This window comes from Homo sapiens, chromosome 10, assembly GCF_000001405.40.
Source record: "Homo sapiens chromosome 10, GRCh38.p14 Primary Assembly".
NCBI lineage: Eukaryota > Metazoa > Chordata > Mammalia > Primates > Hominidae > Homo > Homo sapiens.
The window spans coordinates 103,076,899-103,098,342 of record NC_000010.11 but is presented as its reverse complement, the minus strand read 5'-3'; the positions used below and the strand labels follow the sequence as shown (position 1 = coordinate 103,098,342).

Sequence of the window (21,444 nt, the reverse complement as noted above, 5' to 3'; positions counted from 1 at the left end):
TTAAAAGGCATTAGTGGCAAACCTGATAAAATTTTTTAAAAAATCTGTGGTTAATAGTATTGTACCAATGTTAATTTCATACTTTTCATAATTATACTGTGGTTATATAAGATGTTAATATTAAGGGAAACTGGAGGAAGAATATATGGGAACTCTTTATTTTCACAGCTTTTCTATAAGTCTAGAACTGTTTTAGAATAAAAATTAAACACACATAGTGCCCCAAGATGACATACTTCTTTCTTTTCCTACAGAGTAAAAGTAGCAGAATACAGTATTTTCTCAAAGTACTGTGGTAAAGATTTCTTGTTTTCAGTTTTTGTGCTTCCTATTTTCACCCACCTCCCTTATTTCAAGAAAGAACACTGAATGGGGAGGGTCCGGGAGAATTTGAGTGAAGGAATCTATTTGCTATGCGAGAAGGAAAAGATATTTTTCTTTCCAGGCACATGAGGGGTTAGAATTTCCTCATTTAAGCGCACGTGGGTGTGGGTATTTCTAGGTAGCATCTGCACATGTCATTTCATTCTGCAAGGTGTTTTATAAAACCATAGTGTACACACTGAAAGCCATATCTAATAATCTCTATGTAGAGCATGTTTAAATCAGCTTCTGCTGACCTTTAACACACCTCACATACTTCAAGAAATCTCAAGGTAATTTAAACTCTTTCCTGAGGCAGACATCATGAGGAAGGTAGAGATATGTTGTTAACAGCCATATAACCCCTATAAATATGTGTATAATTTTACATGTAAATCTATTACATACACTGTGTATACTACATATGTTAATACTTTATTCATTTATAGTGATAATGTGGGCTTTTAAGTGCAAAATTCTGAAATCAGCTAACCCTTAAAAGGTTCCCCCATTCCTGTTGTGGACAGAAATCCAGTATTTGACAACTCCAAAGTGTAAAGATAAAAATGTTTTCGTGTTTCACTCATTATCCAATTACATTTCAGGGAAAACTGCCTTTGCTTCTGAGCCGGATGAAGGAAGTAGGGAAAGTATTTCTTGCTACCAACAGTGACTATAAATATACAGATGTAAGTGCTTCATGTGTATATTTATTTATGCAGTGGAATTATTTTGGCCTAAAGAACTGTGAAGACAATGAGGAAGATAGAAGTTTATTAAGTGAAAATAGTTTCTTGCCTTCTCATTTTCAAAGAGTAAAAAGGCAAAAATATACAGGATAACAGTGGTTCTCAAATTTTTCTAGAAATTTATTTTAACCATTTTCACTGATTATAATTGGCTACTTGAAAATTTTAATCTTGGGGTTATTTAAAACATTTGTAAAGATTAAAATGGCTTTTGTGTCTCTTTGGAGCATCATTTCTATAAACTTGAGCAGTCACACCCCTTATTGATGTGTATGTATGACTTTCCCTGCTGTTGGAAGACCTGCAGCAATAGATGCTGCACAGATGTTTTGGCTCTTAGCTGTCAAAATTTATATATCTTTTTTTTTTTTTTTTTTTTTTTTTTGAGACAGAGTCTCACTCTGTCGCCCAGGCTGGGGTGCAGTGGTGCGATCTCGGCTCACTGCAACCTCTGCCGCCTGGGTTCAAGCAATTCTCCTGCCTCAGCCTCCCAAGTAGCTGGGATTACAGGCACCTGCCACTGCGCCTGGCTAATTTTTTTGTATTTTTAGTAGAGACGAGGTTTTAACATCTTGGACAGGCTGGTCTTGAACTCCTGACCTCGTGATCCACCCACCTTGGCCTCCCAAAGTGCTGGGATTACAGGCGTGAGTCACTGTGCCCAGCCCAAAATTTACTACCTCTTAAAAACAGTTTTTTCCCATGATTAAAGCATGTGGAAAAACTGATCTAACTCCTTAACTTCATCTTACTTTTGCTGAGACACTTAAAAATTTATAGTACTGGCAAGAAGTTCCACTTCCCCCAATTCGCTGTACATGTAAACTTGATTTAGACACCTGGTGATTTGTAGTAAACAGTCTTACATAAACCGTTGGTTTGTTGACTTAGTTGGTCTAGGGATGGCAGTAGCGAAGCCAAGGTGATAGGTTATTTCTGTGTGAGTCATTAGTTTTCTCTATACCCCTACCTCATATGCTCCTTTCCTCCAAATGTGTGTTCAAAAACATCTTCCAGAGGAAGTATGTATCCTCCCTGAGAATGTCAGAAGCCTTTTTTTCTTTTTGGTATATGGTAAAGCATTAATTTCTGGCTTCCACTGCCATGATTTCATAAAATTTAGAGGAAACAAGAATGTGGTGAGTCCTATGTTGAAAAAGACATGTTTTGTGAAAAGCTTGTAATTTCTTTAGGTTATATACCTTTTGCAAAAGTAGTATATGGACCTTATGTTAAATTTTTTTTTCCAGAAAATTATGACTTACCTGTTTGACTTCCCACATGGCCCCAAGGTACCGTATGTGACTCAATAGACCACTGCTTTAATAACAATGAATGCATTTAATCATTCTGGAATATTAAGGGGGAAAGAATTGGTCAGAACCCACCCAGAAAAGTCCTACTTTTTAAGCCTATTGTCTAATCTTCATTAACATTAGAAGTAATCCAGGAGCTAGTAGAATTTAAAATCAAATTGCTAATTTAGAGTCCGCAACTTGAATACTTAATAGACAGAAATAAAAGGGATATTCATGTGATATTTAGTAGGATGGGATCAGAATAATTTTATGCCCAAGAAGTTCTATGCAAAATTAAGTTTGTGTGGCAATGAAAGGAATTTTCAGGTTGTGGATGATATTTGATTAACAGAAACAGAAAATGTATGTGTATTCTTGACAACTTCTAGATTTTGTATTAGTTGTTGCTAAGTTTTTGCCAAGAGAGCACTCAGCCTTGATATTTAGCAGAGAAGTCTTCATTTCTGCAGTACGGCTGCACTTAGGTTTAAGGAATACTCCTTGCAACTTAGTCACATACTTACAGAATTTTAGTCCTAGACTTTAGTGAATAAACATCAGCAAATCCCTGTTTTGAGAACACCTGAAATCACAGTGTGCAGTGCCCTTCAGGTTGGTCTTAAAAGGTTAATGCCAGGGTTCCATTTCAGGATAGTCATGATTTTAATGGGCATAACTCAGTATTGTGATTAGCTTACACTGTGAGCCAAAAGCCAGTGTGTACCTAGAGCCATCATTCTGAGAATGTAACCAGTAAAATTTCCTAATAGTTCCATGTTAGTTTGTATACTTTAGCTCTGATGCCTGCCTCTGTCTTAATCTGTCCCTTGGGTATTGATTTGCATCTCTCCCTAGCTCTTTTGAGCTCCTTTTAGCAAATTTCAGGTGAGCACACTTTCATAAAGTGCTGTAAAATAAGTATTGTAATTTAGTAGTAGATGAAATGATTTAATGTATAGAATGTGTTATTACAGTTATTTATTATTTATATCTTGTCTGCTTCCCAAAGGATATGGCTTATAATACATAGACACAATTTTTTTTTTTTTTTTGAGATGGAGTCTTGCTCTGTTGCCAAGCTGGAGTGCAGTGGCACGATCTCGGCTCACTGCAACCTCCCCCTCCTAGGTTCAAGCGATTCTCGAGCCTCAGCCTCCCAAGTAGCTGGGACTACAGGCGCCCGCCACCACGCCCGGCTAATTTTTGTAGTTTTAGTAGAGACAGGTTTTCACCATGTTGGCCAGGATGGTCTTGATTTCCGGACCTTGTGATCTGCCCGCCTCGGCCTCCCAAAGTACTGGGATTACAGGTGTGAGCCACTGTGCCTGGCTGACACAATACCTTTTTAAAAAATAAAATAGTGGGATCTTCTGGCTATACTTAGTATTTTTATATTCCTTGCATCTGAGTGAGATTAAATAGTAATGCCTTAAGGTAAGGAGTGATGTTTCAACTTTTGCTGTTTCTCCTTCACCAGCCTGGGAGCTCCCATCGACCATGGCAGTCCTACTTTGACTTGATCTTGGTGGATGCACGGAAACCACTCTTTTTTGGAGAAGGCACAGTACTGCGTCAGGTGGATACTGTAAGTCATGAGAATGATCTGTCTTGCTAGCACATTGTCCTTAATGTTTCTCCTTCCCCCACTCTTACTCTACATAAGGAAACAGGAATTTTTTTTTTTTAATTAGCCGTATCTCTCTTTTGAAATTAAGAGTTTTGGTCTTAACTGAAACAGTCAAACAAACCCACTAATTGAAAAGAGTAAGTGCCATTCATTTGGCTGTCTGGCCAAGTAGCACTGGTGGTGGGGGGTGGGATGGGAGGGTTGTGGGGTGAGGGGAGGATTGTGATAGGATGATAAAGTATTACAAAATCCATATTCTTCATACAGAAAACTGGCAAGCTGAAAATTGGTACCTACACAGGGCCCCTACAGCATGGTATCGTCTACTCAGGAGGTAAGTCACAGACTTCCCTTTATTTAATGTCTTTGCTCAGACCTCACAGTGAAAGCTTTGGTAATCTCTCAGCAAAGTGCCACATATACTGTTTAGTAGTCTAAGATGTCATCTACTGAAGGTAAATAGTTTAGTCACCTCTTAATGCAATAGGAGTCTGGGTTTGAGCAGTTGTTAGTATATCCTAATGAATCTGATTTTCACTAAAATGATCAGTTTTTTTTTTAAATCCTATTGGAGGCTTTTTCTCAGTGCTTCGAATCACTTGGGGGTACTTCTCAATATGTTCTCAAGGGTTTCTCAAGGAGTTCCATGGGTATAGGTACATAGTATGTTGGAGTTATAAACAGTTGAGTAAAGCCAGCTTAATGGCAGATTTGTGATGAAATTGGCAGTGGCTGTTTTGAAGGTTATTTTCACTAAGCTGAGGATGTAGTTTTGTTGCTCTTGGATTTGGTGAGCAAGAGCTCTGGTCAGCACAGTGGAGCTGAAGGCCTTGTCTTAGAAGGCAGTAAAAAGAGAATGGTGAGTCTTTGTCTATTCTTCCTAGTCTGTTCCTCATATAAGAATAAAATGAATCATAGTATTTAATGGTTAAATACTATTGGAATGCTGATTTTAATATAGGGACAGTTTTCTCATTGTTCACTCTGTTGGTTCAGGTTCTTCTGATACGATCTGTGACCTGTTGGGAGCCAAGGGAAAAGACATTTTGTATATTGGAGATCACATTTTTGGGGACATTTTAAAATCAAAGAAACGGCAAGGGTGGCGAACTTTTTTGGTGATTCCTGAACTCGCACAGGAGCTACATGTCTGGACTGACAAGAGTTGTAAGCCATTCATAAATCTTTGGTGTAATTTATATCTAAATGACCAGCTTTGAATCAGTCGTCTTTGATAAACCATTACTTTGTATTCAGGAAGTCAGAGGTGGTCAAAAGGCAGGCCTTGATATTTGGATACTTCCTTCCCATAGAATATTCAGATATTTCACAGAACTCCAGAATTTGAATAAATATGAGAGGTTATCTTGTTTAACCTTCTTGAATCTCTTCGAGGTTAAGTTTAGAATGTTGGCGTCTTGAGTTGTGTTACAGTAACACTAAGTTGTGAACTGGAGCTCAACTTTTCCTCTGTGGTCCCATATTTCCCCAACCATGCCTAGCAGTCCCAGTCTCTCTGCTAACAGCCCATATCTGTGATTCTGGGGCAGTGATGGCTCTGAATGTTAATCACCTCTGGTATTTTTTATTTACTCTTCTGAGATCTAGAGAATGAGGCCATATTGTATTCTTGAACTAAGCTATGCTGTGTATATGCAGTATACACACTGTGCTGAACTGAGTTACGGATATAGTTCTGTAAAAGTGCTTGATATACAAGTTCTCCAGCCAGCCTTGATGCGCATTACCTGCAGTGTGGTGAAGGTGACTCCGGAAACTCAGCCTGCCTGGGGTAGGAGCCCTGGCTCCATAACTTGAAATCTGCATGCCGTTAGGCAAGTTAATGAGATACCCTGTGCCTTAGTTTCCTCAAATGTAAAAATGGGGATAATACCTACCTCCTAAAGCTGATGAAAAACGGAGGTAATATGTGTATAAAGATAGACATGACAGCCTTTCTCAACCAAGGCTCCATATCCGAAACACAGAAAATTATTACTATTATTTTACCTTTCCAATGGAGCTGAATACAGAAAATTATTTGAGTAACACTTTTCTCAATTCTCCTAAAGATGGTAGATAGAAGAAAATGTGTTACATACAGTAGATGAAGGAGGGCTTGTCTTGAGGAACCCAGACTGACAAAGGCTGCAACACACCGGCAGCATGCTGTAGATGCTGGCTGTTGCTGTTACTGTCTGTACTATCAGTGGGATTTTCTGGCTAGCCTTTCATTCACATTTTCAACTTTCTACCTATGAAGTTTTAGAAATCTAGTTGATTTGGCCCTGGACCTGTGACTCAGGAAAAGTCACCTGATTCTCAATCTTTCATCTGAAAATGGGACTGTTAACATTTGCTTAGCTGACTGCACCTGAGACAGCATGTAAATTCTGGTACTTTACAAGCTCAGAATGAGCGTGCAGCTGGAAGGGAAAGTTGTCATCATGGTGTTTAAGCAGGAGGAAAGGCAGTTAAAGAGAAGGTGATGGTGTTCATCTGTTGTCAGACTCCAAGCAGGTATCAGTGAGTTATCCTGAAGAGGGGAAGAGGAGGTAACTGTACACTCAGCATGTTAGTCCCAGGTTCTACTTTCCAGTCACATCTGCAACCTTTTAGTTTAGCAGCAGTTAAGAACTAGGTGCTTATTTATTTAAAATGTCTTCCTTTTCCTTCCAAACCTTAACTAGCACTTTTCGAAGAACTTCAGAGCTTGGATATTTTCTTGGCTGAACTCTACAAGTAAGTTTTCTAAAAATTTCTTTCCCAAAAACTTACTCAGGAATCACTTAGATATAAGAAATGTTCTTTCCAGGCCAGTAATCCCAGCTATTTGGGAGGCTGAGGCAGGAGAATCGTTTGAACCGGGGAAATGGAGGTTGCAGTGAGCTGAGATTGCACCATTGCACTCCAGCCTGGGCGACAAGAGTGAAACTCCGTCTCAAAAAAAAAAAAAGTTCTTTCCAGGCCAGGCGCAGTGGCTCATGCCTGTAATCCCAGCACTTTGGGAGGCCAAGGCAGGCGGGTTGCTTGAGGCCAGAAGTTTGAGACCAGCCTGACCAACATGGCAAACGAAACCCCATCTCTACCAGAAATACAAAAAGTAGCTGAGTGTGGTGGCACATGCCTGTAATCCCAGCTAATTAGGGTGGCTGAGGCAGGAGAATCGCTTGAAGCTGGGAGGCAGAGGTTGCAGTGAGCCGCGATCACACCCCTGCACTCCAGCCTGAGTGACAGAATGAGACTGTCTTAAAGAATAAAAAAAAGCTCTTCCCAGAGATTTTCACTGAGTTTTTCTTTTATCTTTAGGCATCTTGACAGCAGTAGCAATGAGCGTCCAGACATCAGTTCCATCCAGAGACGTATTAAGGTATCCAAATGGGATTTGGGAGAAAACTTGGGAAATAAGTTTAAATGCTTTTTTCACATTCCTGATTTATTATAGAGACTAGCATTCAACTACTGCTCAATAAATATTTGTTGAATGAGCCAAGAATCAATCTTGTTCTTTGTTTTAGAAAGTAACTCATGACATGGACATGTGCTATGGGATGATGGGAAGCCTGTTTCGCAGTGGCTCCCGGCAGACCCTTTTTGCCAGTCAAGTGATGCGTTATGCTGACCTCTATGCAGCATCTTTCATCAACCTGCTGTATTACCCTTTCAGCTACCTCTTCAGGGCTGCCCATGTCTTGGTGAGTTAAAGCTGTAATGGACAGCCAAGATGTACTCTAAGCCCAGGGTCAGCAACCACCTTTGTGAGATGGCACAGGAGATAGTTTGAACATTTCTTTCTGATGTACAGAGCCCAGGGGCAGGTTATATGGTTGCATAAGAAGGGGTCTTTGAGAAAGTAGAACCAACATTGGAAGTTAAGAGTGTAACTTTACTCTCTGAAGTCTACTCTATTAAAAGCTGTATGTGGGCCAGGCATGGTGGCTCATGCCTGTAACCCCAGAACTTTAGAGGCTGAGGTGGGAGGATTGATTGAGCCCAGGAAGTCGAGGCTGCAGTGGGCTGTGATTGCTCCACTGTACTCCAGCCTGGGTGACAGCGAGAGACCATCTCAAGAAAAAGAAAATGTGGTTTTTACATTCCTTTATTCTGATCTGTTTCAGGACTATCTTGTTTTTGCTGTAAAATAGAAAGTAAACTCCCCTCTCCATCTTTTCCAATTTCCAGCTGCAGTAGACAATATGGGCACCATTTTGAGGGGCAGGGAGAGAGGAAGACAGGCAACTATAAGTAGTTCTATGAAGATAAGTCTATATTGACTTGTCCTGTGGTCCATTATAGATGTAATTGCATGGCCACCTAACAGAGGAGAGGGGTTAGGATTTGGGGAGTAGCTACTTTGCTCTGCCTGCTTTCTGAGCCTCTAGCTTTTTTCTGTCTAGATGCCTCATGAATCAACGGTGGAGCACACACACGTAGATATCAATGAGATGGAGTCTCCTCTTGCCACCCGGAACCGCACATCAGTGGATTTCAAAGACACTGACTACAAGCGGCACCAGCTGACACGGTCAATTAGTGAGATTAAACCTCCCAACCTCTTCCCACTGGCCCCCCAGGAAATTACACACTGCCATGACGAAGATGATGATGAAGAGGAGGAGGAGGAGGAAGAATAAGGAGGAAAACCAAAACCCCAAGCACCCATTAAACAAGTCCTGGCAGGACTCACAGGAACAAACGAGGTCCCTGTTAGGGTTCTACTCGGGGGAGGGAGGGGGCTCCATGAAAGGTACGTCTGAAAAGTTTCTGAAGATTTTATTATCATAGATACTTGTTTTGGTTTTGTGTATCTGTACTCTCTGCAGATGGTCCAAAATTGTAATGGAGTCTGTATTAGAAGAAAATAAGGGTAAAATCAGGCTGAACTGCATGTATATGGCTCCACTGTGGCTTGTGACACTTTTAAAATCATCCGTATGTCAGTGTATCTGGATACACGAGGAAAAGGAAAGAGTCTCAGAGTGGAACAAAGAGTGGGAAGAGGTGATCTGTAATGTTACAAATTGTGCTATTACTCCAAGGTCCAACTTTTCCAGTGCATTACATGGTATTGTATATCAGTGGAGAAATGTATTATTTCCATGATCAAATGTAGTCTCTGTTAAGGTCAAGTTTTCTTTTATAAGCCTTTAATTCATCCTCAGTGACTCTGGCAAGGCTGCTTCTCTATCACTGGCTTTGCACAGAAGTATGCTCTACTTGCGTTGCTTTAGGGCAGGATTCTATTTTGAGGGAAAAGACAGTATCCTTATTACCTTTTGTTTGTTTAATAGCACAAATGCTTATTTGTTATCCAAAAACAACCTCCTTCTTATCTGTGATAAATCTATAGAAAGAATTTAGCTGCAAGTGGACAAAGGAACAAGCCCCCAGAAAAGAAAGGGAAGAACTGCCTTCTTATACTACAGAACATGCATTAGTGTGGGCTATATAGCTGTGGCTCATGCTACCCAATTCCAGATTTCTTTGTCCTCTAAGAGTTGATTGCTGTATATTAAAATTGAACATCAGAGGATGGGAAGAGGGCTCTGTAAGCCAGAACCTTACTAAAGTAGAGGGCACAATCAGTGTGAATAAATTCACTTCAGAATCTCAAGTCAAGGCCAGGCACGGCGGCTCACGCCTGTAATCCCAGCACTTTGGGAGGCCGAGACAGGCGGATCACCTGAGGTCGGGAGTTCGAGACCAGCCTTACCAACATGGAGAAACCCCATCTCTACTAAAAATACAAAATTACCTGGGCGTGGTGGTGCATGCCTGTAATCCCATCATCTACTCAGGAGGCTGAGGCAGGAGAATTGCTTGAACCCAGGAGGCGGAGGTTGCAGTGAGCCAGGATTGTGCCATTGCACTCCAGCCTGGGCAACAAGAACAAAACTCCATCTCAAAAAATAAAAATCCCAATCCCAAGTCGAAATCACCTCTTGTTTTAAACAAGAATGAATCATTACTGTGTATGTTAGGGTATTAAAACTGTTTCACCAGTACAGTGAAAGTTGTTTCAACATTTTAAACAAACAGTGGTTATAGACTCTTTCTTTAACCATTGTATATTTTCTTCCATTCTTGTCATTGGTCAATAGGGGAGGGTAGATTAGCTGCTCCAGAATTCAATAAAGTGTAATATTTCTAACGGTGACTTTGACCTATTCTGTAGTACAACTGTAATAGCTATTGGTCTTCAAGTGGGTTTAGATTTGGTGACATCAGTTTGATATTCTCTTAAAGGAAATAAATATTCAAGAACTGATTATGTTCTAACATGATTATATTCATGGTGTTACATAGGCCTCAATTTTTTCACAGAAAGATTTTTGGAACAGGACTGTGAAGTGAGGCTTTTTAAAAAATTATTTTATAAGCAGAGAACACAGCCTGATAACTTAGTCAAGGATATACTGTCTGTCTCACTACTTTGGACTTATATGGCTTCAGATTAAGTCATCCAAGAAACATACATACATTCTAAATGGTATATATTGGGAATATATGCCCCTTTAAAAGAATCAGGTCAGAAATGCAATAACAATTAGACTAGACTGTTGCCCGTGTTAGGAGAATGTGTGGTCATCCTAGTTACTAATTACTCTCACTCAAGATGGAGATGTTGTCCAGTTTAACATAGTCTTAAGTTTTCTTAAACCCAAATAATTTATGAGTAGCTTATTACATCTGCAGAGCTACCTTATTATAATAGTACATTTACATATTGTCTCTTTTAGAGTAAGGACCACATGATTGCTTTGCTTTAATTTACCACTTTTTGTATTGCATCCATATAAGAGTGTCTTACTAGCCAGATGATTCCATGGCAAATGATTCTCTGGGTCCAAAGATCGGAAAGTGAAAAGCACACAGCTGGAATAAGCAACAACTCCACTGCTAGTTACAGCTCTCCGTAGGACCACCAAAACGTATTCAAGAGCTCTAGGATTCCATAAGACCCAGAGCAAAATGGTGCCTCTCTGTATATTATTCTTAAGAGTGTGCTGGGAAGTCAATGGTCCATGGGTAGGCAGGGCAGCTGTAACTGGGCTTTTTAAAACAAATTATGAGTTTTCTCTCTGTTGCCAGTAGTTAAGGAAGCTGAACTTAAAAGGTATACTTTTTTCCTTAAAAAAAAAAAAAAAAAAAAAAAAAAAAAAAATCCTGCGGAGTTTTATACCGTGAGAAGACCATTCTGCCACTTCTTTTGAGAATTTTTTCCCAGGCATTTTGAAAACACTATAGGCATTGTAGAACACCAGGCAACCCCTTCTTGGTTGCTAGACTGAACTCCCAACCTTACAGCATGTACTGACAGGTCCCCTAGCCTCCCCAGCAGTTGGTCAGTGGTACAGCAGACCCAGGCCCTGCTGGGTTTCCTTGGGCAGAGGAATTGCCCAGTACATTCATTCATCTCTGCAAAGATAGATAGTCAGTGAAAACTCTGATGGTGTACTTCAGAAAAGTTGGTCACAGCCAAGAAAGTTTAGGGTTCTATTTAGACCTAAGATTTTTCTCTTGCCATAAGCATACCTCTGCTGAGACCTAAAATAATAACGCAAACCCTTCAAGCTACCCTAAGATACTTTTAGAAGTCGTTTTTAATAGAACTACAAATCCTTAAGTCACATTAGCATTGTTAAGAAACCACTTTAAAAAGCCACATGCAGTTGCATGTCAGATTTAGAAGTATTTTGTCCATGTTTAGGTATTTCTAAATCAGATGTATTTATTTAAGAAATACTTTGTCAACAACTTTAAAGCCCAGCAATTTTTCCAAGGCTGCCTGGTCATTTTAAAATAAATACTCTGCTTATTCACCACGAATAGCCTGAGACAACTACATATTTAAGTCTGTATTAGGGTAGGAACCTTACCCACATTCCATGTTATGGAAACTATTTAATCTGTCTTTGATGGTGGGAAAAATGGTAACTATGATCTAGCTATTGCCATACAGTTAACGCTCCAATTCCTCACTGGGCTTAGTAGTTTAGGGCTCAAATACTTATGTTTCTCATGATGATCTTTAGTGGTGATCAGGGAATCCAGCTTTTCTTAAAAGTTTTTCCTCAAATAGAACAATTTCAAATGATACACAACTTTTGGGAGGCCCTGAGAGTGAAATCTCTACCATGGAGCTACCAGAGCAACCCTGCAGATAGAAGAAAAACATGCACTACTGCTAAGGAGCAGGGATGACCACAGGCACAGGCAACCAGAAAGCAGAAACAGGTGACTTCCAGAAACCCCCGCTGCCCCGTCACGCACCTCCCGTAACAAGAACGCAGCACGTCACACAGTTCTCGCGCTGCTAGGTATCTAGAAACAGCAGAAAGCAAGTCCTTTAAACAGGCAGCATGTTCATTTATAGAATGAGTAAAAAGCTTTTCTATTCTTTAACCTGGATTTCTCAACCATTTTTCCCTGTCCTCACACACAATGTCTTCATCCCAAGGCCACAACAGTCTGATTCATTCCAACAAAGGTATGTGATCTCAAAAATAAAATATATACAGAAGTTTCTCTGTAGAGCTTTAACACAAAAAAGTACTCCCCATTGAACACAAACATTTCATCTCAAACTTGCTGACTCTGTTTAAGGATGAGGAATCTATGTTTTCCAATTTAAATTTAAAACACAATGATGAATTTTGAATCTCGTCCCTTTGTTTCTTCACACAAAATAACTAGGTACAACTATGTCCCCAGATGTTCTGGTCTCCCATGGAGCTCTTCCCAAAGCCATGTCTGGCGAGGGGAGTAGACAAGGCCTGAGATAAACCTTCCCACACAAACTGGAGCCCAAGCAGCTGAGCACACATTTTTCCCACGAAAGGCAGCAATAGTCCTTCCACGTCTCACAAGTTCTTGAGATACTTGGAAAGAAGATTTGCCAAGCAAACCTTCCCCACACTGAAAAATGTTTACTCAGTGTCCAGTCTTTGAGAGAGTGTTCTCACCAGAGTTATCTTTGACTTGAGTGTGTGGGTATCTTTAAACAAGTCACTTTTTGGACCCACTGACCTCAAGTCAATGACTTAGTAGAACTGCAGTAGGAAAACTGGCCCCATCTAAAATTTCCTATCATGTGTTGGCCTCCTGTTTGAACACTGCACAGTCACTAATACCCTGACAGGAAAAGCACTTCAGAAGTCGGGCAACTAATTCTCCCTTAGAAACGTGCATCCTCAGTCCTCAGTAATCCACTAGGGGAGATGGCATGCCAGCAGAAAGTCAGAGAAAAGGGCCCTAGAACCATCCCTTTGTCCTGGGACTGCTTGAAAATAAGAGCACAGATATGAGGCCCTTGGAGGGAAAATGACAAAACCACCATACAAAGAAAGCAAAAGAGTTTATTATCCACCTAATAGAATTCAACTTTTTGGCTTTAATAAAGAATCATCTCTTTTAAATTACCTTCAAAAAGTATAAAATAAGTTTCCAGAAATCAACTCCAGGCTATAAAAAGGTCAGTTTTTAACCACTTTCTCTACAAGACCCTCTGATCAATATTTGTTTCCTCAGAAGTGCCGAGTTGAAAAACGGCTCTAGGGAGCACAATTTTTGTGAAATAGAAACCCCGGGTGCATCACGATAAAGCTTAGAAATGAGCGGATGTGTGCGCACTCTGAGGATGCAGGGGGGAGTTTTAGGCAAATCTCATCTTGACAGCAGGAAAAATTGCCTCCATTTTCCTTGGAGCATTTCCTGATTTGAGCTAAGGGCTCATCTAGACCAAGTGAGTAAAACAGGAAAAACAAACCAAGGCAGGAGGCTGGGAGTGAATGTGCTACCATGATTTCTTTCCCTAGCTCTGCTGCCACTTTCTGCCCTGCTTCTAATGAAAGCAAGCAGGGTTCGAAGACAGCATTTCACTGGGCTAAGATACACCTCATTCTACTTTCAGGTAGTTGGGCGATACCTGGGGAGATGGGAGCGGTAGTTAGGTCAGGCAGTGTCTGAAAGCCAATTCTGTCAGCAGTTCTTCCCTGAAATGTCTCCATCCACAGAACAAGTGTAAGTAAAAGACTGCAAATGCCACGGTTAAATAAATTCAGTGGAGACTATAAATGGACCAGTCAAGAGGCTAAATTTTCAGAGCACGATCCTCTTTGGAATGTAAAATAGAGACTAAAAGTGGAGAGAAAAGGGATTCCAAAAAGATGTGGTTTAGGAATGGATCACAGAGGGTCCCTGAAGCTCCACCGTAAGTTCTTCAGGGACTGGTCTCATGTGAGTGATGAGGGTAAGAAGGAACAGAAGACAAAGTAGTGATGGAAAAGAACGTGTATCATACACACCGATTACTGGGGAATGCAGGATATCCACTGAATCCTGAAGACCCACCTGCACACGCCTCGCCACACTCAGGCCGGATGTTTTCCACTTGAAAGTGACTATCCATGCCTGCTCCGACCTTCCTCCCAGGCTTAGCATAGCAGAGGAGGACCTATAAAGCCATCCTTGTTTTCAAGAGCCAATTGAGAGGCCTGAATGAGACCTTTGGTCTTACCTAGGAAATGCCGGCTTAGCCCAGCGGCACTGTGTGTTGTTATTAGTGACTGAGCAGCCAATGTCTGGGGCAATTTGACTGGATACTCCGAATGTTCTTATGTAGAGAGTAACTGATGGAGAACAGATTATAATCCTTGCAAAGAAGGACACCTTCCCCCTAGGATTGGCTGTACCAGGCTGTGACTTGGAGGCACAGAACTAGTACCCACTTCTCTTAAGACTTTACACTGTCCAAAGAAGATGCTCTTCTATGTTGTCATGCTGAGATCCAGTCCCAGCTTTCCCACCAGCAAAGCCAGGCAAGTGGGTAGGGCAGTTGGTTCAGCCAAGCTGAATACAATGGCATGGTTGGTGTTGCACAGATGAAAGGGAAGAGGGAACACACATCTGCTAGCAGGGTGAACAGAACATCATTTATCTAAATAGAATAGAAATAAACAAAAACCTTGTAAAACAATCACAAAATTTACAAATAAATTGGTACAAAATAAATAGGAGAGACTGTACATCTACATCATTTGAATTATAAAATGCATTCATTAAGACAATCAGCTCAATCCTATACATGTCATTTGTGCTTATTTAGGTTTATGTACACAGCTCTGAATACTGTGTTCAGAAAACTTCACTGCTCAAATGCATGACCTGTACACTATGATACAGTGAATAAAGGCTGAGGAGGATCAAAGTCAGACACAAAGCAGGGTCTTACTTGAGGGCCAAGGCAATGTTGGCACTGGGCCTCAAAACCAAGAAAAGGCATATTAAGAGCCCAGATAGGCAGGCAGCTTCCATTATCCAGAAAGATGGATTATGCAATCTAAGGTAAGTGGAAGAAACCATTATCACTGTGGGGCCAGGCAAGTGACCTGCCTTGGGAGGAGGGAGGCCGTGGACTCACAGCTGTACTGTACCCTACATAGGGGAAGAGAGCCTGTCACCAAGAAACCACCTTGGAAATATTTCATGGAGGTACTTGAGAGGCCCTGCCCACAAGGTAGGAGACCTGCCTCCATCCTCATCCAAAACACTGGTCATAAGGAATACAGGTGGGCCCAACTAAAGGGGCTGGGGATGCTAGGGCCAACATAAAAGCAGCAACCTGTTTATAAAAAACAACACTACCCTCTCACCCGCCTTAAAGGACAGCAGAACCCTAGGATCCATGGATGAGGAAGCTTCAAGACAGACCTTGTCCTAGTCACAGACGAAGTACTAACAGGCATATGTACATAATAAATAATATAAAATAAAGCATATACATTTGTGGGTTTAAAGGACTCAAACAAGAAAAAATTGATAACTTCACCTTCACAGTAGATTCAGACTTGGGGAGTAATGATCAGAAGCGAGGCTGGGGCTCTCTGGGGAATGAGAATCCTAAGACCTCATTCTTCCCAACTTTGCTCTGCTCTAGAAGTCTGAGCCTCCAACAAAAAAGGCAGGCACCCAAGCCCCACCAGGCCCATTGGATAGTTCTCTTCAGGGTGAATCTGCAGCCAAATCTGGCCCCCAAAGAACTGCATCCTAAAAGTGAATCCATGTGGATCAGATGCCGGAAGGCGTCCTTCCAAGCGAGGCAAGACAATGCTCCCATTCTTCTCATTTGTTCACGGTCCCAATGGGCATTAAAACCTGAAAACCTTGTGTACTCAAGTCTTTCTTACAGTATGTGTTGGATCTGTGTACATATAAACCTTGGCATACAAACACCTAGAACTTTACTCTCTTGCAGCTAGAACCTTTGTTTCCATGATGCTTGAAGTTCAACCTGGTATTTCCCATCAAAAGATATTTAAAACAATTCTAGTAGAGATGATGTCAGTAGCTCTAGCATACAGAGAGAACGTGCTTACTTGAGCTGAGCCAACCACAGTGGTGTGAGAAGCAAAGAAGGTCCCCAGCCTAGGATGGTGGGAGGAAAGCTGCTCCCTACTCTATGCAGTTGCTGTGAACTGCCATCTCTTCTTCGCATCCGTAGGGTTGACCAGGGACTCTAGAATATGAATCTCCAGATAGGAAAGAAGGTAGCAAAAGGGAAATGGGCAAGTAAACCGTGATCGCAGACAGAAAGCTTGCAAGTGCTAGAGGAGGAAGGCCTACTTGTCACAGCCTTGCTAAGTAACAGCAGCAAGCTATTGGTGCACCACTCACCCCTCAAACGGAGGCAAATGAACCTCAACTTAGAAGTCTCTGAACGTCTCTCTCCTATTAACCAACTTGAACACCTAAGAAATAGGAAAAGATAAAGATTTGCAAATGACCCTGAGGTATAAAAATCCACTGAGAAGTTGCTCATTGATACATCAGAAAAATTTCTGAATCCCCAGATCACTTTCCTATTCAAACCCCTATATCCCTACTAAATTCTGGGTTAACCTACAACTCACCCAGATACCCTTGATGGACAGAAGCACCACTAGCCTAGAGCCCAGAATGGAACTACATGGCCCAGGACAAGAGCCAGTTTCCTCAGTAAGGAAGTAAGCAATGGCACCTCAGAGGCCTTCTGGACCCTAACCTACCAGCTCAGTCTTGTATTTCTCCTCAACCCTTTGCAAAGAAAAGCCCATATCTGGGCTCAAAAGCAGAGGGGAGTTTTTCCCATGCCACCAGGGAGCTTGGGTCATGCTACATAGCGTGCAAAGCCAGCCCTCCCTGGCCTGCTCTTGCTTGGAGCCCCAGAGAACAAGGTGAGCACCTTCCTGTGCCAGCCCGGGTGAGTCATCTGCCTAGGATCACCCCTGGGGAACCACAGGGGCAACTCTGGTTGCCCAGGAGACCTCACCTTCCTGGGCCTAGGCAAGGCGAGGATGGCTACAGATCCCCGGCTGGCCTTCAGATGACAGAGGTGGTTGTGTGTTTTTACTAGGCAGGACACAGACTTGATCAGCCAGGGCCTATACAGGTCTGCTCCTCAACCCAAAGAGAGAATTTGAGGGCAGAAGTTCATGGTACCTGCTTAGCTCAAATTCCTATTGCTCTATTTCCTAGGGAAAATGTATTTCTATTTGTATCTACCATTATTTTCCTAGGCTTGGAAAAGCTGGTCCTTTAGTGTACAGTGCTGACGACAGCACAGGTAAATATACTCACAGTTACTGTTCCGTATTAGTGTGAAGCTCTGCATTCAACATTTGCACTGTTCCTTGAAGTCACATTAGAAGATGGTAAGATGCCCCACTCCCTCCCACTTGGGGATGCCAACCACTTCAACATGGCATTGAACTCCCTGCAGGGAGTGAGGTGAGGAGGGAGGAAAGAACAGAGTTCAATGTAACCTTTCAAGTTCAAATTATGTAAGAATCAAGATTTAAGCCAGTTGATTAGCACCCCGATATCTGTGTAAGTCTTAAGATTTTGTTTTCCTAAGAGTTTAAATGTATGATTTTGAATTTGCCTGACGCATATGGGACAAGCAGTGAAGGGACGGAACCTCCAAACAGCAGGAGAAAAGCCCTCCTCATTTACAGAGCAGGCAGAGTGTCCCAGGACTATCTGGATGCTAGGGATTTAGTTTCAGAGGAACCGTGGGGCACCAGTGGCTGCTCAGGAGCAGGTGAGGCTCTGTCCCACCCAGAGAGGCCCCGTAAAGGAGGGTGAGGCCTCCCATCAGTATCCAGAACTCAGGGGTCTGCATCTGGTCCACTCGACCCACTCCCTTCCACACTTGAAAAGGTCACCGCCGCGGGAGGGCAGTCCAGCGGAGGTGCCAAAGAGCAGCCACATCGAGACCGCAGCTATTCCACGGTCTTTCTCTGCCGGACCCCACTGGCTTTGTAGAGATGAATGGCAGAGGCCTTCCAAGCCAAAGTCATTCTCCTGCTGCCCCAAAGAAGCAACAGCCCAGTGTTTCTCCTCCAACCATCTGAGAGGTTGGTTTCCTGAGGGAAAATGGGGCCTGGAGGAGGAATCTGGCCGCTCAGACATGAGTGTTGTTTGAAGGGTCCTAAGCTCTCCCCAAAGGAGATGTTAGCCTTCATTCCTTCAGGGACCTGACAGGAATTATTTTAGATTCCCTAATGTTATAAAATAGTGTGACTAACAGAAGGTAAAGAATAACAGAAAATGAATACGAACTTGGCGGCTAAAATTTCATCCTTTGGGAGCCTCACTGATGCCACTCCTGCCGAGCTCTTTTATAAGAGAATAATTTGCAAGAAGCCATCACACCGAGCACGTAAGACAGTATTAAGAAGTCTGCTTCTCCCTGAAGTCAGAGGCAGCAGCTGGCATCCCCTCTCCTCTCCCCAGACTCAGTTCTTTAGGATTTATAAAGGAACAGCAGAGCTCTGAAAAGGGCACCAACACACTAGCTCTGATTCCAGAGGCTCTCCCAGTAGCAAGGCATCCCCGAGAGACTGTGTGTGGAGAAGCAGACGTGAGCCCAGATAGGTTGACAGGGCAGAGTTCCTGAGGCCAGAGAAGCTGGGCTAGGCAGGCTTGGCTCCCCACAGCTCAGGGAAGGCCAGCACTGCGCAGACCCGAAGAGGGGGATAGATGCCCTCTTCCAGCATGGGCTACGCTTTGCTTTGTTGCAAGGACCCCTCATCTTTATACACTCATCACACTGGTGTTGTGCTCAGTGAGAGGCATCTTAAGAAACTGACTTTTGTATCTAGATGGCTCTGTTTAAAAAAAAGGATGCTTAGAGTGGGGTCCCCTCTAAGGTCAAGCTACGCGGTGGGGCTTCATCCCACGGGGGCAGGTTGCGTGCCAGTAGCAGGCCACTCAGCACCCTCGGGGGGTCCCTGTGACCCTCTACACCAAGTGAGATCAGTACTTCCCCCCACTAAGGGACACGGCACCTTCTGAGGAAGACACTCCAGGACTGGCATCCCAGAGGAAATACTGAGCCGGGCATGCACAACACCCGAGGCACCAAACTGCTCACCAGGCAGCCAGCCCGGCCCGCTGCTGTCTGCTCCTCAGCCACGCTCCCTGCCCCGCACACAGCCCAGCCGTGGCTGAACAGACTTCCTACCTGGAGTAGGGAGAAGAAAACTGCCACTTAGCCAAGGCCTCCCTTTGCGCAGTGAGCCTAAACAGAAAACGCTCTCTCCTTTCCTAGTGATGGATGCGGCGGGCACTGATAATCTTGTGTGTACACTGGTCAGTATGATTTCATTTCAGTGCATGAATAGCGCCAACAACCTGCACATATCCCTCGGGCTAACAAAACACAGATAAGCTATAGTTAAGAATTCAGTCACTCATATACCTCCTGACATAATTTCACTACATGATGAATTTGGTATTAAAATAAGACGGAGACACACATAAAATGGCCACAACACACATTTGGTTTCTGAATCCCTGTTTGGGGCCAAACTGACCCTGGCTGTACAGGCAGCCTCTCTGGCACAGGCCGCATCTGAGGCAGGAGGCACAGAGCCCTCAGGCAGGGGACACAGCCACTGCCGGGCCCCATGGGCCCAGGGACAGGGGAGGAGGGACAGTTGGCTCCCTGGGAGGAGGAGCAGGGGCTGGCAATCCCCAAAGTTCCCTCCTTTAAAAACACGGGTCTAGAAATGCCTTCTCGGCACACAGTACAGAGTGCAGCTAGAAGGTCCGACTCGTTTTCTGTTAAAGTATGTTCTAGTGGGAAGGGGAGGAGCTTGCACTCCACATCACGTGTTTACTGAAAAAGCCCTGTGGAAGATTTCCATTTGGCATCTGTGTAGCAGCATCTTGGGTTAACAAGAGCAAGGACCAGGGAGGTGGGCGACGACACTCTGTGAGCTTAGGCGCTGGGTCGGGGAGGAGGGCTGGCTGGCAGACCCCAGGCTGGAATGACAGGATGAAGTCAACTTGCCTCTTGCCAATGATAAACCATGGGTTTTAAATTCATTAACATTCATTTTGGTGATAAAAATTCCTTAGGGTGGGAGCAAAATCACATTCCCAAGCAAATGTTAAATCTTCCTGAGGGAAAGGGGTACAGTTAAACATTAAATTCTCAAAATACCACTGAGCTCAGAGAGGTGATTGCAGGTCCCTCTGAGGCAGGCTACACCCCACAGTGATGACAGACTTGGCAGGTTCTGCAGTAACACGGTCTTCTTCATTCAGCCAGCGAGATCGACGGTGATGCCCACTGGGGCACAGAGGAAGGGTGCCCCTCGCTGGGAGGGCCAAGGAAGGCTACCGGAGGGGCAAGTCCAGCCCATCAGGGTCACATCATGGGATCACAGCAGAGTTCAGACAGAACAACTTAAAACTCTGCAAAAGACACTTTAAAAACATGATCTCTTGAAAAAATAAATCGCAACAATTTTCAACTTCATGCAAATCGAGGGCAGAGGAGTGTGAATAATGATAAAAGGGAGAGCTGAAAAAATAAACATGATTCTATTTGGGCGGAATCAGTTCATCTCCAAAATCTTGAACGCCATGCCCCGGCTGCCAACTTCACATCTCTCGTTTCCATTCCTCCCTCACTGTCCTCCTCCGCGGCTCCTGGGAAGGGCACAAGGTCTTTGGTCTCAGGATGTTGCAGGGTACAGCATGGCGGACAAGCTCACACCAGTGAAGTCATGGGCAGACAGGGCCGGGCCCTCGGGACTGGGCGGGTGCGGGCCTGGGCGGGTGCAGCCAGCGCGGCCTAGATGGCGCCTTCGTTGTGCAGGCTGTGGTTGGCCTTACTGTGCGTCACACAGTTCTGTTCGTTGAGCAGGTTGGCTGTCTCGTCTGGCAACCCGTCATGCAGCTCCGTAAGAGTCAATTCGATTTTAGTGTTTTCACTGTCTGAAGACTGGGGGGTTTTGTCCATCCGGGATGCCATCAAGGCATTTTGGTATTGCTGTCTTGAGATCTGGGGCCAGAAGATGGCACAGAAAACAAACCAAGATAATGCTTATTTTTAGGTTCTCTGATCTCCACACGT

At 43.2% G+C, this 21,444-nt stretch overlaps 2 protein-coding genes across 55 annotated transcripts in view, besides 1 other annotated feature; one reads left to right on the top strand and one right to left on the bottom strand.

The window, feature by feature from the left end:
• NT5C2 (5'-nucleotidase, cytosolic II) overlaps window positions 1-10,326 on the top strand; it is a 105,256-nt gene extending 94,930 nt beyond the window's left edge. For 24 of the 53 annotated variants that reach the window (NM_001351181.2, NM_001351183.2, NM_001351180.2 and 21 more), the window contains 9 exons: window positions 969-1,052; window positions 2,363-2,404; window positions 3,888-3,995; window positions 4,305-4,371; window positions 5,034-5,204; window positions 6,728-6,779; window positions 7,347-7,407; window positions 7,556-7,732; window positions 8,435-10,305. In NM_001351181.2, coding sequence (NP_001338110.1) covers window positions 969-1,052; window positions 2,363-2,404; window positions 3,888-3,995; window positions 4,305-4,371; window positions 5,034-5,204; window positions 6,728-6,779; window positions 7,347-7,407; window positions 7,556-7,732; window positions 8,435-8,671 — 999 coding nt within the window. In that variant the 3' untranslated portion in view covers window positions 8,672-10,305. Of the gene's footprint in view, window positions 1-254; window positions 296-968; window positions 1,053-2,362; window positions 2,405-3,887; window positions 3,996-4,304; window positions 4,372-5,033; window positions 5,205-6,727; window positions 6,780-7,346; window positions 7,408-7,555; window positions 7,733-8,434 lie in introns of all 53 variants that reach the window. The other 29 variants (XM_047424845.1, XM_047424847.1, XM_024447901.2 and 26 more) reach the window with 3 other exon arrangements.
• The window catches only part of CNNM2 (cyclin and CBS domain divalent metal cation transport mediator 2), a 171,929-nt gene continuing 158,605 nt past the window's right edge, over window positions 8,121-21,444 (bottom strand). For both annotated transcript variants that reach the window (NM_017649.5, NM_199076.3), the window contains one exon: window positions 8,121-21,372. In NM_017649.5, the coding sequence (NP_060119.3) occupies window positions 21,163-21,372 (210 nt within the window). In that variant the 3' untranslated portion in view covers window positions 8,121-21,162. The remainder of the gene's footprint in view (window positions 21,373-21,444) is intronic.
• Window positions 14,377-14,671: an enhancer, noted in NCBI's record as "tiled region #2614; HepG2 Activating DNase matched - State 5:Enh". NCBI's record gives its function as "activates a minimal TATA promoter and a strong SV40 promoter by Sharpr-MPRA in HepG2 cells {active_cell/tissue: HepG2}" and the evidence as "EXISTENCE:reporter gene assay evidence [ECO:0000049][PMID:27701403]".